The sequence below is a fragment of the Homo sapiens genome, chromosome 17 (assembly GCF_000001405.40).
Source record: "Homo sapiens chromosome 17, GRCh38.p14 Primary Assembly".
NCBI classification, from domain to species: Eukaryota; Metazoa; Chordata; class Mammalia; order Primates; family Hominidae; genus Homo; species Homo sapiens.
Window position 1 is genome coordinate 4,220,618 of NC_000017.11, and position 17,594 is coordinate 4,238,211.

At 39.8% G+C, this 17,594-nt stretch overlaps 1 protein-coding gene and 1 pseudogene across 9 annotated transcripts in view; one reads left to right on the forward strand and one right to left on the reverse strand.

The window, feature by feature from the left end:
- ANKFY1 (ankyrin repeat and FYVE domain containing 1) overlaps positions 1-17,594 on the reverse strand; it is a 100,159-nt gene that overhangs the window by 56,797 nt on the left and 25,768 nt on the right. For 7 of the 9 annotated variants that reach the window (NM_001330063.2, NM_016376.5, XM_047436223.1 and 4 more), the window contains one exon: positions 15,155-15,273. The exons of the other annotated variants lie outside the window; for them this stretch is intronic. In NM_001330063.2, the coding sequence (NP_001316992.1) occupies positions 15,155-15,273 (119 nt within the window). The remainder of the gene's footprint in view (positions 1-15,154; positions 15,274-17,594) is intronic. 9 annotated transcript variants of the gene reach the window in all.
- On the forward strand, positions 1,449-4,437 carry RYKP1 (RYK pseudogene 1; annotated as a pseudogene).

Genomic DNA, 17,594 nt, shown 5'->3' on the forward strand with positions numbered 1-17,594 from the left:
AATGAGGTTCAAGTGATTTACAAGCTTTCCCACTCCTGCCGTGACTCTTCCCCTCATCTACAAAATACACTGAGAATAAATTCACTTTGTGACTCAGACGAAGCAGCCAGTGGTATAAGGGTAGGCAGAGAACAAGGATCAGGAAGGACAGTGTGTGCTGCAACTGGGTACTTGTGGGTAAATCGTCCACACTGTCTGCTTCCAATCTACTTAAGCAAGTGGTTGTAAAAGTCAGATGACTGCATAAAGCACGAGTTCTCTCTAAAAGGAGTAGACTCAGAAGAGAAAGCAGTTGGCCTCCGAGTCCTGCGTGAGGGAGGTAATCATCTCTCAGAAGGCCCTGCATGCAAGCCAGAAAAATCTCTGACTTCAAGGATGAAAAGTAAAATAACACTGAAACTTCTGACTTCGTTTCACTGCAGGCCAGGATGCATGTAAATACACTTTGGAGACTTTAGGATTTTCTATGTGGCCTAGTTTTTTGTTTTGGTTTGAATTTTAAATAAATGTTTTCCAAGACATCTGAAATGGATGGGAATAAACTGATCTGTATGCAATTAACCATTAAATGAAACATACTGAGTAAACTGACTTTGTTTTTTACTTTATTTATTTAGGGACAGAGCCACTGTTGCCCAGGCTGGAGTACAATGGTGCAATCACAGCTTACTACAGCCTCGACCTCCCAGGCTCAATCAATTCTCCCACCTGAGCCTGCCGAGTAAACGGGACTATAGACACATACCACTGTGCCTGGCTAATTTTTGCATTTTTAGGAGAGAAAGAGTTTCGTCATGTTGCCCAGGCTGGCCTTGAACTCTTGGCCTTAAGCAATTCTCCTGCCTTGGCCTCCCAAAGTGCTGGTATTACAGGCATAAACCACAGCACCTGGCTGACTTTGTTTTTTAAATCCTCTATTTTTAATCTGTAAAAAGCTGAGAAAGGTGTCTTGAATCTCCTATTATGACTCTGGTTTAATTAAATTCTCTGAGTTTCCAACTGTTTTTTTCTTTTTATTTGGGTCAGAGTCTCACTCTGTTACCCAGGCTGCAGTGCAGTGGCACATTCTCGGCTCACTGCAACCTCCATCTCCCAATTCAAGCGATTCTCCTGCCTCAGACTCCCAAGTAGCTGAGACTACAGGAGTGCGTCATCACACCCAGCTAATTTTTGTATTTTTGTAGAGATGAGGTTTCGCCATGTTGGTCAGGCTGGTCTGGAACTCCTGACCTCAGGTGATCTGCCCACTGTGGCCTCCCAAAGTGCTGGGATTACAGGTGTGAGCCACCATGCCCAGCCCTATTGTTTTCTCAATCTACTTCACATAAAATTTTTTGCTTCCCCTATTCCGGACGATGCCGCCAAGGAGGTGGCGGCGCGCTCTGGAGGTCTGAAGCCGCTGCTGGCTGCCACAGGCTAGCGGCTTGATGAATTGGGCAGCCGCCCTAGGCTCAGGGCTGTGAGCGGCTGGGGCCAGGGGTAGGCGGCGGTGCGGCGGGCGGCCAGGCGCCGGGAGGCGTGGCTGGGGTGCCCCGCGGCCAGAAGGCCCCGCCGCCGCCGCTGCTGCTACCCCTGCTGCCCGCGCCTGGCGCCGCCGCCCCCGCCGCCCCGCGGACCCCGGAGCTGCAGTCGGCGGCCGCGGGGCCCAGCGTGAGCCTCTACCTGAGTGAGGATGAGGTGCACCGGCTGATCGGTCTTGATGCAGAACTTTATTATGTGACAAATGACCTTATTATTCACTACGCTCTGTCCTTTAATCTGTTAGTACCCAGTGAGACAAATTTCCTGCACTTCACCTGGCATTCGAAGTCCAAGGTTGAATGTAAGCTGGGATTCCAAGCGGACAATGTTTTGGCAATGGACCTGCCCCAGGGCAACATTTCTGTTCAGGGAGAAGTTCTACGCACTTTATCAGTATTTCGGGTAGAGCTTTCCTGTACTGGCAAAGTAGATTCTGAAGTTATGATACTAATGCAGCTCAACTTGACAGTCAATTCTTCAAAGAATTTTACCGTCTTAAATTTTAAACCAAGGAAAATGTGCACCAAAAATGGCCCTGACACGCAGCTCCAACCACTTCTACGCGTGTTTTATATTAGGGTAGGGTTTCTTGTGCAGTAATATTTCTCGTAGCAATAATATTAGCTGTTTTGCACCTTCATAGTATGAAAAGGGTTGAACTGGATGACAGCATTAGTGCCAGCAGGAGTTCCCAAGGGTTGTCTCAGCCATCCACCCAGACGACTCAGTATCCGAGAGCTGACACACCCAACAATCCAACTCCTATCACCAGCTCCTCAGGTTATCCTACCTTGCGGATAGAGAAGAACGACTTGAGAAGTGTCACTCTTTTGGAGGCCAAAGCCAAGGTGAAGGATATAGCAATATCCAGGGACAGGATAACTCTAATAAAAGATGTACTCCAAGAAGGTACTCTTGGGCATATTTTCCATGGGATTTTAATAGATAAAAAAGATCCAAATAAAGAAAAACAAGCATTGGTCGAAACAAAGATCAAGCTTCTGAAATTCAGGTGACAATGATGCTCACTGAAAGTCGTAAGCTGCAAAGTCTTCATCACAGAAATCTTCTTCCTATTACTCATGGGTGTATACGAGAAAAGCCCATGGTGACACTGCCTTACATGAACTGAGGGAATCTTCACTTGTTTTTACGGCAGTGCAAGTTAGTAGAGGCCAATAATCCACAGGCAATTTCTCAACAAGACCTGGTACACATGGCTATTCAGATTGCCTGTGGAATGAGCTACCTGGCCAGAACGGAAGTCATCCACAAAGACCTGGCTGCTAGGAACTGTATCACTGATGACACACTTCAAGTTAAGATCACAGACAATGCCGTCTCATGGACTATCACTGTCTGGGGGACAATGAAAACAGGCCAGTTTGTTGGATGGCTCTTGAAAGTCTGGTTAATAACGAGTTTTCTAGCACTAGTGATGTGTGGGGCCTTTGGAGTGATGCTGTGGGAACTCATGACTCTGGGCCAGACGCCCTACATGGACACTGACCCCTTCGAGATGGCCGCATACCTGAAAGATGGTTACCGAATAGCCCAGCCAATCAACTGTCCTGATGAACCATTTGCTGTGATGGCCTGTTGCTGGGCCTTAGATCCGGGGGAGAGGCCCAAGTTTCAGCAGCTGGTACAGTGTCTCACAGTTTCATGCAGGCCTGGGGGCCTACGTCTGACTCTTCTCTCGCAATCCCACAGCATCAGGAGAAAGGTGCCTGTCATGGATGCTTTGTATCTAACACCACGCCAACAGAAGCACATTTGTCTTCCAGAACACTGTGCCTCAGCAATGCTTTAGAATCTGAACTTTTTAAGACAGACTTAATAATGTGGCATATTTTCTAGATATCACTTTTATTAGGTTGAACTGAAAGGGTTTTTGTAAATTTTTTGGCCAAAATTTTTTAAAACATAGTTACCTTGGACTAGAGGTACATTGTTACAAAATGAACAGTTTTTAAAATTGTTCAGACACAGATATTTGGAAGTAGCTATCTTAGTGCCAACTGCTTTTTATTTTTTTTACTTCATCAAGGTGATGTAAGTGACTCACCTTTGAAGTTTTTTTTTTTTTTTTTTTTTTTTTTTTGAGACGGAGTCTCGCTGTCGCCCAGGCTGGAGTGCAGTGGCGCGATCTCGGCTCACTGCAGGCTCTGCCCCCGGGGTTCACGCCATTCTCCCGCCTCAGCCTCCTGAGAAGCTGGGACTACAGGTGCGCACCACCACGCCCGACTAATTTTTTGTATTTTTAGTAGAGACGGGGTTTCACTGCGTTAGCCAGGATGGTGAAGTTTTTTTAATGTTATTTTTTATCACTACTCTTGGAAATGGCCTGTCTTCAAGATGCAATACTTTTCTTAGGAAAGGAAAAACAGCATAAAAAGATACCTGGTTTGTCTTGTACAAGAAAAGGCAATATGAGAGGAAGAAAATTTAAAGAAAAGCTAGAGGAAAAAAAATTTTTTTTAATACTTATTAGAAGCAAACTGCCCTTGCATGGAAAACTGTTTGTTTGTTTTTTTTTAGTGAAAAGGAATTCTGCTTTCGTGTTTTTGGGAAAGCAGGAACTGAGTTCATTGCATCTTTAATTTGGTGGAAATTAGCTTTTCTGTGAACCAGAAGTGGTTTGAGGCAGATCTGTAGTAAATAATGGTGATTTTATTTATTTTTACTCTCTGGAAAAGGAGACAATACAATTCCAGAAAGTGGACTCATATTTCTAAGGTTAAGATTCCCGTTTATTGCACCTAGAATAGTGCTATGCACAGAGTGGGTGCTTGAGTTGTCGTTTTTTTTTTTTTTTTAAATAAACTGGTAAATTTTGTGCTTATCTTCAAGGCTGGCTTAAGTATAAACTTGTTTTTTTAAACACTTGAAAAATTAAAGGATTTGTTTTATATTTAAAAAAAAAAACTTTTTAGGCTGGGTGTGGTGGCTCACACCTGTAATCCCAGAACTCTGGGAGGCCGAGGCAGGCGGATCACTTGAGGTCAGGAGTTTGAAACCAGCCTGGCCAATTATGGCAAAACCCCCTCTCTACTAAAATTACAAAAAGTAGCCGAGCGTAGTGGTGCATGCCTGTAATCCCAGCTACTCGGGAGGCTGAGGTAGGAGAATCTCTTGAAGCCGGGAGGCAGAGGTTGCAGTGACCCAAGATCACATCAGTGCACTCTAGCCTGGGGGACAGAGCGAGATTCTGTCTCAAAAAGAAAAGTTTTTGCTTCATAGAATTAAAAAATCTTGGTAGACAGTATCATTTTTATCAATAAATAACATCCTCTTTAGTCAATTTAAGGATGTATCCTTAAATATAACCTCCTGGAAATAAAATTAAACCTCAAACCATATTTCTAAATAATCTCTGGGTCAAAATGAAATAAAAGGACAGAGGTTCTAGTTCTGTTATGGCAGTGGAACAACCCATCCCATTTTAACTGATTATAGCTAAAAATTCTGGACAGAGTACAAAACAACAACGACCTAAAGATTTGGAAAAGTCAACAAAAGCAGCTGAACTGAGAGGGAGGCGAAACTTGAAGCAGCAACTGCACTGGATGAGTTTCCCCGTTTTGTTCCTCTCCTATGGCTTCGGTGTGTGTGTATATATATATTTATATAATTTTTTTTTGAGACAGGGTCTCACTGTCACCCAAGGTGGACTGCAGTGGCGTGATCTCAGTTCACTGCAACCTCTGCCTTGCAGGCTAAGTGATCCTCCCACCTCAACCTTCTAAGTAACTGGGACCACAGGTGAGTGCCACCACACCTGGCTAATTTTTTTGCATTTTTGGAAGAGATGGGGTTTTGCCATGTTGCCCAGGCTGGTCTCAAACTCCTAGGCTCAAGGGATCCGCTTGCCTCAGCCACTCCAAGTGTGGGATTACAGGCGTGAGCCACTGAACTTGGCAAAAATTATTTTAAAATGATAAAAGCAACAATTCCTTAGGAAGTCATAATTATAAATGTAAATGTACATAATAGAGGCTAAAAATTATATGCAGAAAAACTGACAAAAATTAAAAGGAGAACTAGACAATTCTAAAATTATAGATGTTACCACTCTCCTTTAAGGAATTGATAGAACTAGGCTATGCATAGTGGATATCGCCTGTGAATCCAGAGCTTTGGGAGGCCGAGGTGGGAAGATAATTTGAGGCTAAGAGTTTGAGACCAGCCAGGGCAACACAGTGAGACCCTGTCTCTACAAAAAAACATTTTTTTTAATTAGTCAAGTGTGGTGGCATGCGCTTATAGTCCCAGCTACTAAAAAATTCACAGGACGCAGCTAGAAGGAAATTCAAAGCTTTAAATACTTGTATTAGAAAAGATCTAAAATAAATTATCTCAGGTTCCACAACTTTGAGAAACTAGGGAGAAAAAAGGAGAACGGGAGAGCAAAGTAATCCAAAGAAAGAAAAAAAGGACAGAAATCAATAAAATATAGCTGGGCGTGGTGGCGCATGCCTGCAATCCCAGCTACTCAGGAGGCTGAGGCTGCAGAGTTGCTTGAACCTGGGAGGCAGAGGTTGCAGTGAGCTGAGATAGCGCCACTGCACTCCAGCCTGGGCGACACAACGAGACTCCATCTCAAAAAAAAAAAAAAAGAAATCAATAAAATAGAAAACAACCAACAGAGAAAATTAACAAAGCCAAAGCTCATTCTTTGAGAAGATAATAAAAATGCCAAACTTCTATAGACTTATCAAGAAAAAAAGAGTGAGAACATAAATCACCAATACCCAAGAATGAAAAAGGAGTTATTGCTACAGACATTAAAAGGAGAAAACTACAAACAAATTCATAGTAACAAATTCAACAACTTAAATAGACATATTTCTGAAAAACAAAACTTCCCAAACCTGACACAGAAGAAACAAATCTGAATAGACCTATATCTATACAAAATACATATTTTAAAAATTTGTTTTCAAAAAGCTTCCCAAAAAGCAAATTCTGGACTTAGATTACTTCAGTGGTGAATTCTATCAAACATTCAAGAAATAAGCAATAACATCAATCTTAGAAAACATTTTCAGAAAACAGACAATGAAGGATCATATAAGGCCTATATAACCCTAATAGTAAAATCTGATAGAGACATTAAAAAAAATTACATACCAATATCCCTCATGATTACTGTTGTAAAATTTTTAACAAAATATTGGCAAATAGGATCCAACAACATACATAAAAAAGGGTAATATATAATGACCAAACAGGTTTTTACAGCAGGAATGCAATCTTAGTTTAACATCTGTAATTCATCAAAAATTATATAATCATTTCTATAGATGTCAAAGAAAGTGTTTGGCAAAATTCAAAAACCAATTCAGGTAACTTATCTAGAAAACCAGGAATACTCAAATTGATAAAGCGTATCCAAGAAAAACCTACAACTAATCTATACAAAATGATAAAAGATCTCATTGTTTCTCCCTGAGATCAAGAACAAAGGATGCTTGCTTTCAGACAAATGACTTGTATCTAAATTATATACAGAACTGTTAATACTCAATACTCAAAACTCAATACAATGCCACATTTTGAAAAGGCCAAAGATGTGAATACTTTATAAGAAAATATAAAATTGTCAATAACACACAAAGAAGGTTCAGCATTATTATCAGGGGAATGCAAAATAAAACTGCCATGCACTCTGTATCCATTAGAATGGCTAAAATTGTAAACAAAAACCAAAACAACCTGCCTATATCAAGCGTTAGTCAGGATGTGAAGCACCTGGAGCTCTCATATCCACGGCTAATGGGAATGTAAAATGGTACATCCATTTTGCAAGACAGTTTGGTAGTTTCTTAACATTAAACAGTCCCTCCTAGATATTTACTCAAGAGATATAAAAACATGTCTACACAAAGGCCTTACACAACTGAATACAGGTAATTTTCTTGCTAATAAAACCCAGAAAGAACACAAATGTCCATCAACAGGTAAATGCAAAAAAAAAGTGTGGTATTTTCATACAATGGAATACTATTCAATAACAAGGAATGAATAATTAAAACACAAAGCAACATACTAAGGTGTGGGGTGAATGTCAAAATCTATATGCTAAAAGAAGTGAAAGAAGCCAGACAAAAGGGACTCTATGCTCTATGATTGCACTTCTATAAAAGCCTAGAAACTGCAAACTAATCTATAATGACTGAAAGCAGATCAGCATTTAGCTGCAGAAGTGGATGGCAAAAGGGATGGATTGCAAAGAGACATGAGGAAAGCTTTAAGGATGGAAATGTTTTTTGTTAGTTTTTTTTTTTTTTCTTGAGACAGAGTCTCACTCTGTCGTCCAGACGGGAGTGCAATGACGCGATCTCGGCTCACTGCAACCTCTGCCTCCCAGGTTCAAGCAATCTCCTACCTCAGCCTCCCAAGTAGCTGAGATTATAGGCATGTGCCACCATGCTCGGCTAATTTTTTGTATTTTTAGTAGAGATGGGGTTTCGCCATGTTAGCTAGGCTGGTCTCAAACTCCTGACCTCAAGTGATCCACCCAACTTGGCCTCCCAAAGTGCTGGAATTACAGGCGTGAGCCACCACACCCAGCAAGGATAGAAATGTTTATGTTGATTGTGGCAGTGGCTTCACAGGTGTATTCGTATGTCAAAACTTATCCAATTGCACACTTTTAATGTGGGCAGTTTACTGTACTTCCATTACACCTCAATTTGGAGGAAAAAGAAACCAAACTGACAGGCAGCACGGCACTGTGGTTAATGGCACGAATTCTGCAGCCAAACTACCTAGGGTTCAAATCCCGGCTCCAATCCTTGCTAACTGTGTGGAGTTAATACATAATAAAGCACTCAAAACACCACCACCACATAGTAACTGCTATGTAAAAACTTGCTATTATTACAATAGACTATTTAGAAATTGATCACAATGAAAACAGTACCTACCAAAATATTTGCAATGTAGTCAGATTCATACTATAAAAAAAAGTCATAGTCTTAACCTTATTAGAAAATGAGGCCAGGCATGGTGGCTCACACCTGTGATCCCAGCACTTTGGGGGGCCGCAGTGGGTGGATCACCTGAGGTCAGGAGTTCAAGACCGGCATGGCCAACGTGGCAAAACCCCATCTCTACTAAAAATACAAAAATTAGCCAGGCGTGGTGGCGGGCACCTGTAATCCCAGCTACTCAGGAGGCTGAAGCAGGAGAATCACTTGAGCCCAGGAGGTGGAGGTTGCAGTGAGCTGAGATCACACCACTGCACTCCAGCCTGGGTGACAGAGTGAGGCTCTGTCTCAAAAAAAAAAAAGAAAATGAGATAAAAGATAGTAATTCAACTCAAAAAGAAAAAATAATTCAAAGGAATTTCAAAGAAAGATTTAATACAGATAAAAAGAAATTATTGAATTGGCTAAATATAAATAAAAATTAAAAGAACAATGAACCTAAACCAAATCTGCAATAAGCCAACACAAACACAAACTTAACATAACCAAAGATTGGTGAGAAAAACCCAAAAGCAGTATGAGGATTAAGTAAAGAATATAACCGCAGATAAAATAGATTATTTTGAGCTCTGAGAGAATCTTTGGGCATGGGACTCAGCTGCTGGCAGGAGGCCACAAGGCTGTTTGAGTGTCCTCATGACATGGCCGCTAACGTTCCCCCAAAATGAGCAATCCAAAAGAGAGAGCTAGGAAGAAGCCACAGTGCCTTCGATGAAGCCATCTCTCAAGTCACATGCTGCCACTTCTACCACACTCCATTCATTAGAGGTGAATCAGCCTATACTGAAGAGGAGAATTTGAATCCACCTTTGCAGGGAGAAATAGCAAAGAATTTGTGAGCATATTCTTTTTTACTCCTTTTTGTGAGCATATTCTAAACTTCCCGTGGATGTCATCGAAGGAACACAGTATGATTTAATACTGAAACTGAACAGCCTTAACCTAGTAGTTCACACAGTAGCCAACAGATGTTGAATATTGCTGTGCTTCTCTTAAAAATTTAAATAGCACACAGCTCCCCGAGTACACAGTTTGGGAAACTATGCCCTTTCCACTGCAGAGTGCAAGCTTTCCAGATGGTGCTTCAGGGGATAGCTTTCCCAACCAGAGTGAAAAGGAATAAAGGAGGATGTTTTCTGCTGTTTGGAATGGCTTGACACTATCCAGGACACATTCCAGGAGAGCTGAATGACTCATACCCTGAGCCCTTATGCCAAGGAACTGTAAGATCTTTGCTTGAGAAAGTATGCAACAAACTCTAGCTTCAAAACAGCCATTCTAATCCATTGGAACCTCTCATCGTGTCAGCTGCTACTGGTAAAGTGCTACAGAGAGGCCATAAACAGATCATTTTGCTAGAAGCAAATTGCTTTACTTCACCAAGAAGTAAATATAATACTTTCCTTGTGGACTCAGATTTGTTATGCTTTGCTGAGCTAACAGTCATATTCTTTCTCTTCCCACTTGGTCAATCAGTATCTTTATAAACTTTTATCTTTTATTCTTTTTTATTAGGGTTTAACAGACAAAAATTATATAGAGTTAATGTATGACATGTTTTGATATATGTATGCACTATGAAATGGTTATAAGCTAATTAACATATCACTTCATATATTTAAAGATACCTTAGTAAGAAATAAAAAAGCAAATTTCTACTTTGTTTACATTTTCAGATACTTTCATACTTTGAGAAAAGCTGCAGAGCATCCCCATATGCCCTTTACTCATCTTCCCCTATTATTAATACAGCTTATATAACCATAGTACAATGATCAAAATTAGGTAACTACGTAATACATACAATACCAATACCATTAACTAATTATAGGCCCTATTTTGCCAATTTTACCAGTAATACCCTTTTTATGGCCAGAATCCAACTGAGGATTCTACACTGCATTCAGTGTTAGTCTCACCCAATCTGTAATACTTCCTAAACCATTCTTGTTTTTCATAACCTTGACATGTTTGAGAAACACTCTGGCTGATTATTTTGAGAAATGTCCCTCAATTTGGGTCTGATGTTTTCTCATGAGTAGATTGAGGTTATGCATTAATGGCAAAAATCCTATACAAGAGCCAGGCAGAGTGGCTCATGCCTGAAATTCCAACACTTTGGGTAGCCAAGGCAGGAGGATCATCTGAGCCCAGGAGTTTGAGACCAGCCTTGGCAACACAGCAAGAGCCCATCTCTATTAAACAATTAGCCAGGGATGGTGGTGAACACCTGTACTCCCAGCTACTTGAGAGGCTGAGGTGGGAGGATCTCTTGAGCCCAGGAGTTCAAGGCTTCAGTGAGCCGCGATAGTGTCACTGCATTCCAGCCTGGGCGACACAGTGAGACCCTATCTCAAAAACAAAAAAAGAATCCTACAGAAGTGATTGTGCCTTCATCAGTGGATCATATCAGGTACAAACATTTCACTTTTTTGAACAAGGTATGATTCATATATCCAAACACCTTTAAAGTGTATATAATGCCTGTTGTATTTCATCAACATATGCTAAAATTCTCATAATCAAGGCTGTGTGCAGTGCCTCACACCTGTAATCCCAACAGGCCTTTGGGAGACCAAGGCAGGAGGATTCCTTGAGTCCAGGAGTTCAAGACCAGCCTGGGCAACATGGCAAAATCTCATGTCTATAAAAAATGAGACAGGCATGGTAGCACACACCTGTGGTCCCAGATACTCAGGAGGCTGAGGTGGGAGGATCACCTGAGGCCAGGAGGTCAAGGCTGCAGTGAGCCGTGATTGCACCATGGCACTCTAGCCTGGGTGACAGAGTGAAATCCTGTTTAAAAAAAAAAAAAAAAGAAAGAAAGAAATATCAATTAGACAAGAACATCAAAAAGAAAAATGTGGAGTTTTTCTTACATTCTAAGATGTAAGTTTATGCAAGCAAGAATTTAATTTTGTACACTTTGTATCCCTAACACCTTGAAAAGCGCTTACCACTCAATGTTTTTTATATGAATGGATTAATGTTGAAAAAACAAAACACCAATAAATTCATTAAATGATTTTATCAAGCCTGTTGGTGTGGAAAACATTTGAGCCTTTAAAATACAGCTTTTATGCTATTTATACACCTGTTTACAAGAACCTATTTCCAATCTTCCTCAAATTGCTGCCATGAAGTGTCAGTGCTTCCAGGTATCACATAACACACAGGCTTCCCAGGCAGTCTCAGCAACTGCAAGCCCAGGTTTAGGCAATGAGCAGGACTGCTGGGCAAAGCACACAATTCAACAGGAACAGGCCCACACATGCCACTACCACCTTGGACCTCTCCCCCATAACACATTTCAAAGATACATTTCATTAAAATGTCATAAAAAGTAAAAATGCCACATGTTCTCCTATCTGCTATCTTCACAGGTGCTTGATCTGTGAAAGCCACAAAAACCATTTACTTTGAAGCGGATCACTCCTGAAAGCAAACCTTATAGTAGAATCAAAACACGCTTATTATTTACAACTGGAGGAGAGTCTAGAGACATTTAAAGACATTAATATTCTATTTTCCTGAACTCGAGAAAACTTCCTGACTCACAGTGATGCAATCTTGTGGCCAGACAGCACTGAATTAAGGCCAGACAGCACTGAATTAAAGCTCTAAACGTTTGGATGTACTAAAAAATTTCAGTGTAAAGCAAAATTTTTTAATTCAATGTTAAAATTGGCTTTTTATTCCTTGATGTAATTTTCTGTGTTGTGTCGTTTTGTTTCAGAGAGCAGCGATGTTTCGTTTTTGCCACTCTCATTCATTTTGGTGGCAGTCGATATTTCACAATTAAAATAAAACTGAGGAACATTAACACTGTCTGAGTGACCTACGACAGTATCCCAGAAGTCAGATAATGAAGAAAAAAAAAAAAGTAGGAATATTTCACAGCTCAGCTGCCTAACTGCTTTCTAGAACTGTCATACCTATTTGTATCGTCACTGGCAAATGTACAAGAATACCACCTTCATGAGCCTCACAGCTACTAGGATCACCAATGTTTGATTATATAGATTTCAAAAGATGGTAGCTTATTCTTAACTTTTTTCTAACAAAGTCGAATATTTTCCATATATTTATTACCTTCTAGTCTTCATAAACATTCTGTTCATATAATCAAGATCCTATCACACATTTTGTGAAGAACACTACATGATCTTATAAGGTCTTCATAATTCTGTTATATATGAGGTCAAAGATACATGGTTTCAAAACACTATGCTTTAAAAAAAAAAAAAGCTATCCCTCGAGATTTCGATCACGTGGACTGGTACCCTCCCAGTAAAAAACTATTTCCCAGGCAAATGTTTTTAGTTACTGGCATGCAGGCATCTGCACATGTGTAGGTGTGTATGTGCATTTGTATCTACAACTTTTAGTTATGGACCTCAAGTTAAATCCTAGAAATTATCATAAAGAGACAGAGTTCGCTCACAGTTGGGAAACACTGATATATGTTCCCCTTAATCCATGAGATAAATGCCTACTTAGCCTTTACAACACTACTCAGGTATTAGCCACCTCTGAAACCTTCCTTTATCACCCCAACTTAGTCTGTTCTCAACCTTATATATAAGCTAACTACATTTCTGTATTTACAGCCCTGGTCTGAAATGATTTGTGAATGGCCTGTTTCCTCCAGCAGAGTACGGGCTCCGTATGGCAGGGACTGTGTTATAATCATCTCAGTGTTCCTGGCACTGCGCATGGAAAACAGTACCTTCTCAACTGACAAACCTTCTGAACAAAGATATAATTCACACAATCACTTCGGCAAGTCCAGTCATAAGCAGCATAACTATGTTTGGTCAACAACAGACTGCAGATACGATGATGGTCCCGTAAAATTATAATATTGTACTTTTACTGAACTTTTCTATGTTTAGATATACAGATACTTACCACTGTGTTACTGCTGCCTATGGCATTCAGCACAGTAACATGCTGTACATGCTGTACAGTTACACAGAACATGCTGTACAGGGTTGTAGCCTAGAAGCAACATACTATACCATATAGCCTAGGTGTGTAGTAGGCTATACCATGTAGATTTGTGTAACTATACTCTATGATGCTCCCACAACAAAACCACGTAATGACACATTCTCAGAACACATCCCTGTTATTCTCCTCACCATATAATTCTGATGAATATTAATACTAGAATTAAATTAAAATTTTGCTCTTTGCCCCTTTTTTTCCAATAGCAGTCAGGCAAGTACTAAATGAAAATGCAACCTTCAGGTCAACTTTTGAAAATGACTGTTTTCAAGTCTACTTGCCACCCTATTTGCTTCAATCCTACACAAAAAAATGTGACATAAAACAAGTAACATTAAATAGGCCAATGTAGCTATTAATTTTTTCTTTTTTTTTTTTTGAGACAGGGTCTTGTTCTGTTGCCCAGGCTGGAATGCAGTGAATGCAGTGGTGACATCATAGCTCACTGTGGCCTCAAACTCTTGGCTCAAGAAATCCATCCACCTCAGATTCCCAACAAGCTGGGACTACAAGCACATGCCATCCTGTCCAGCTAATTTTTTCTTTAATTTGCTGCAGAGACAGGGTCTTCCCAGGCTAGTCTTGAATTCCCTGGGCTCAAGTGATCCTCCCACCTTGGCCTCTCAAAGTGCTAGGATTACAGGCATGAGCCACCATACCCGGCCTTAAAATTCTTTTTTTAAAAACAAATTGTATTGTGTATATTTAAGCTATACGACACAATGCTGTGGGATACATATATAGTAAAATGAGCACTATGGTGAAGCAAATTAACATATCCACCATCTCACATAGTAACCCAAACCTATTAAAATTCTGAAGGCTAATGGTCATCTTTTGATGTTAAAGAAAGAATATTGTTATTCTTCAGAGTAACTATTCTGAGTTCAGTTCTGATAAACTAGAAAAAGTACTTTGGCCAGACACGGTGGCTCACACCTGTAATCCCAGCACTTTGGGAGGCTGAGGTGGGTGGACCACCTAAGGTCAGGAGATAAAGACCAGTCTGGCCAACATGGTAAAACCCTGTCTCTACTAAAAATACAAAAATTAGCTGGGTGTGGTGGTGGGTGCCTGTAATCCCAGCTACTCGGGAGGCTGAGGCACGAGAATCACTTGAACCTGGGAGGTGGAGGTTGCAGAGAGCCGAGATCACTATTGCACTCCAGCCTGGGTAACAGAGTGAGACTCTGTCTCAAAAAAAAAAAAAAAGAAAAAAAAAGTCCTTTGGCATCTAGCATGAAGTTTTAAGCAATTTGACAGCAGGACTTTTTATTAGACTTGAGGGAAAATTTTTTTCTGGACATGAATCCTTATTTACAGCATATTTTTTCATGAAATGAGTGTACGGAAAAACACTTACATTTTATAAATCATAAGGACATTGCAGATACTCAAATATTTACGATTTGTTAGCCAGGTATTACCTCCTAAATAGGTAGGTACACAAAGTACCTAAAAGTACAACCTGCTGATTCATTAATTATTTAACTAGTTCATGGTTGCCATCAATTGCTTAATTATTTTACTTTCATTAAATCACAAATATTTCAAAATGAGACACCACAACCTTCTGCCAAGAGCCCTTCCGCTAGCAGTTTTGTGTCCCTGATCACTCAAAGGCTCACCTGACAGGTCCAACTCTTTAGTGGAAGACAAGTTAGCCAGACTCCAGCTGTCACTGCGGGCTGCCAGGACAAACTTGTGAGCACTGATGTGCCTGTCCCCAACCTTTATCTTCAGATCGCTGATGAAGAAAAAGATCCACATATATTAGAAAAATGTCATCATAACTAGGTATAGCTAGGATTCACAGCTGATAAACACATGAGTATTCATCAACATACATCTGCAAAAGAAAAAATTACAGCGAAGAATTATTCCTATATGCTAGCACTGAATTCTGGTGAGTCATCTTTATAGTATGTTGCTAGAAATGTTTTCTATTGATAAATTCTGGCTTTAATTCACATGGCATGCGCTGCTTTCAAATACATCTTCTCATGGGATTCTTACGGTGGTGAACCTACAAGTTAAGTAGGATGATTAATATTCACATAAAAAGTAGAGGATATTTTATATAGACTAAAACAAGCTAAACCATCAGGGAGAGAAAGACAGAAAGGTTAAAGATGGTGATGACAACTCTGAGACTACAGTGCTACTATGCTCCACAGTAACGCTCAAGCAAGGTTAAACAGAAAAACCGTGAACAAACTAACAAGCAGTCATGAACATGAAACCCAGTATCTGGACTCCTGTTCTCACTAGAAACATTCAGTCCTAATATTGACCATTTTTTACTCAACTACTTATAAAAAATGGGGTGAGGAAAAAGCTTTCTTTTCAAAACATGTTTCCATAATTATGACATGCCATTATATGAAAAGATCTTCCCAAATAGATATTTATGTTTAACTCTGAAATGTCAAATACTACTGGAGGAGAGCATCTGGGCAGTTAACAAAAACGTCAAGATGACCCACTAGGCTGACACGAACACATGCCGTATGGCTATGCTGGCAGGAATCCAAAGTCACTGTCATCATCCTGCTTGTAGTTATATGTTTTATTTTCATATTCAACTTTAAAATTATTTACTAGGTTGGAAAGTCTTTGGAAACTAAATACACAAAAACCACTATATGGAAAAAAAGAAAAAGAAAAAAAAATACCATTACATGAATTAACCCATCCATTTAAAAGGAAACCCAAGCCAGGCGTGGGGGCTCACACCTGAAATCTCAGCACTTTGGGAGGCCGAGGTGGGCAGATCACGAGGTTGAGATTGAGACCATCCTGGCTAACATAGTGAAACCCCGTCTCTACTAAAAATACAAAAATTAGCCAAGCATGGTAGCAGGCACCTGTAATCCCAGTTGGTCAGGAGGCTGAGGCAAGAGAATCGCTTGAACCCAGGAGGCAGAGGTTGCAGTGAGCCGAGATCGCGCTACTGCACTCCAGCCTGGGCAACAGAGCAACACTCTGTCTCAAAAAAAAAAGAGGAAACCCAAACAGAATATTGTTTGTATATAATGCTTGACAGAGACACATTCTACGCTACAAGAGTATTGTCTAGAATACACTTAATCATCATTTGAAAGTATCGGCAATTCTAGTTCTATCAAAGACCAAGCTATAACCAATGGATATTAGATCACAAGATTAAGAGAGTATTTATTATTTCAAATTATTACAAACTGCTGTTAACACAGTAGAACATTATTAATGGTCAAAGAAGAAACAGAATACTCTATGCAAAACAGAACATCAAACTGTATCAGCACAACCTGTGACAAAGTGTAAACAATTTAATGAAAACAAGAAGTTACCTACAAAGTACAAATAATTTTTAAATTCTATATATATTTATAAAGTATTACATCCTAATAACTTAAACAGATTTTCAGTCTGTACTGTTTCAACCACGAGTATAACTTTTAGCCACAAAATTACAAAAATGAATGTTTCTAGAAAATTTCTACCACATTCATGAATGTCAGGTCAAAATTCTATCTTTTGTAATCTGACATATCAAAGGGAAATAAAGATAAGGATTTCATCAATAATTTCCAATAATAATTTTTTAAAACACAAATGAAAACCAGAAAATCAAACAAGTCCAGTCCATGAGGATTCTATGTTGAAACAATTAAGGACCTAGTAATTTTTTTAAAAAACTTGATTCCACTCAATTAAAGAGTATTTCCTTTTAAAACATGGAAACCAGAATGTTGTAACTGGAGAGGAGGCAAAGAGTTTCTTGTTAGTTTCTCAGACACTTCAATAGGAAAAACTATAGGTTTGTTTGGTAAAAGAATGAGTACAGTAAATGACTACACATAGCCATCGTTTTTAACTACCTTATGGGACAAAACTGTTCTCCTGAACTTGAAATGTAGGCCAGGCACAGTGGCACACACCTGTAATCCCAGCACTTTGGGAGGCCAGGACTAGGAGTTTGAGACCAGCCTGGGCAACAGAGTGAGACTCTGTCTCTTATTTATTTAAAAAAAAAAAAAAAAAAAAAAAAGGCTACCAGTTTCTTCCACATTTCTCAACTTAAAA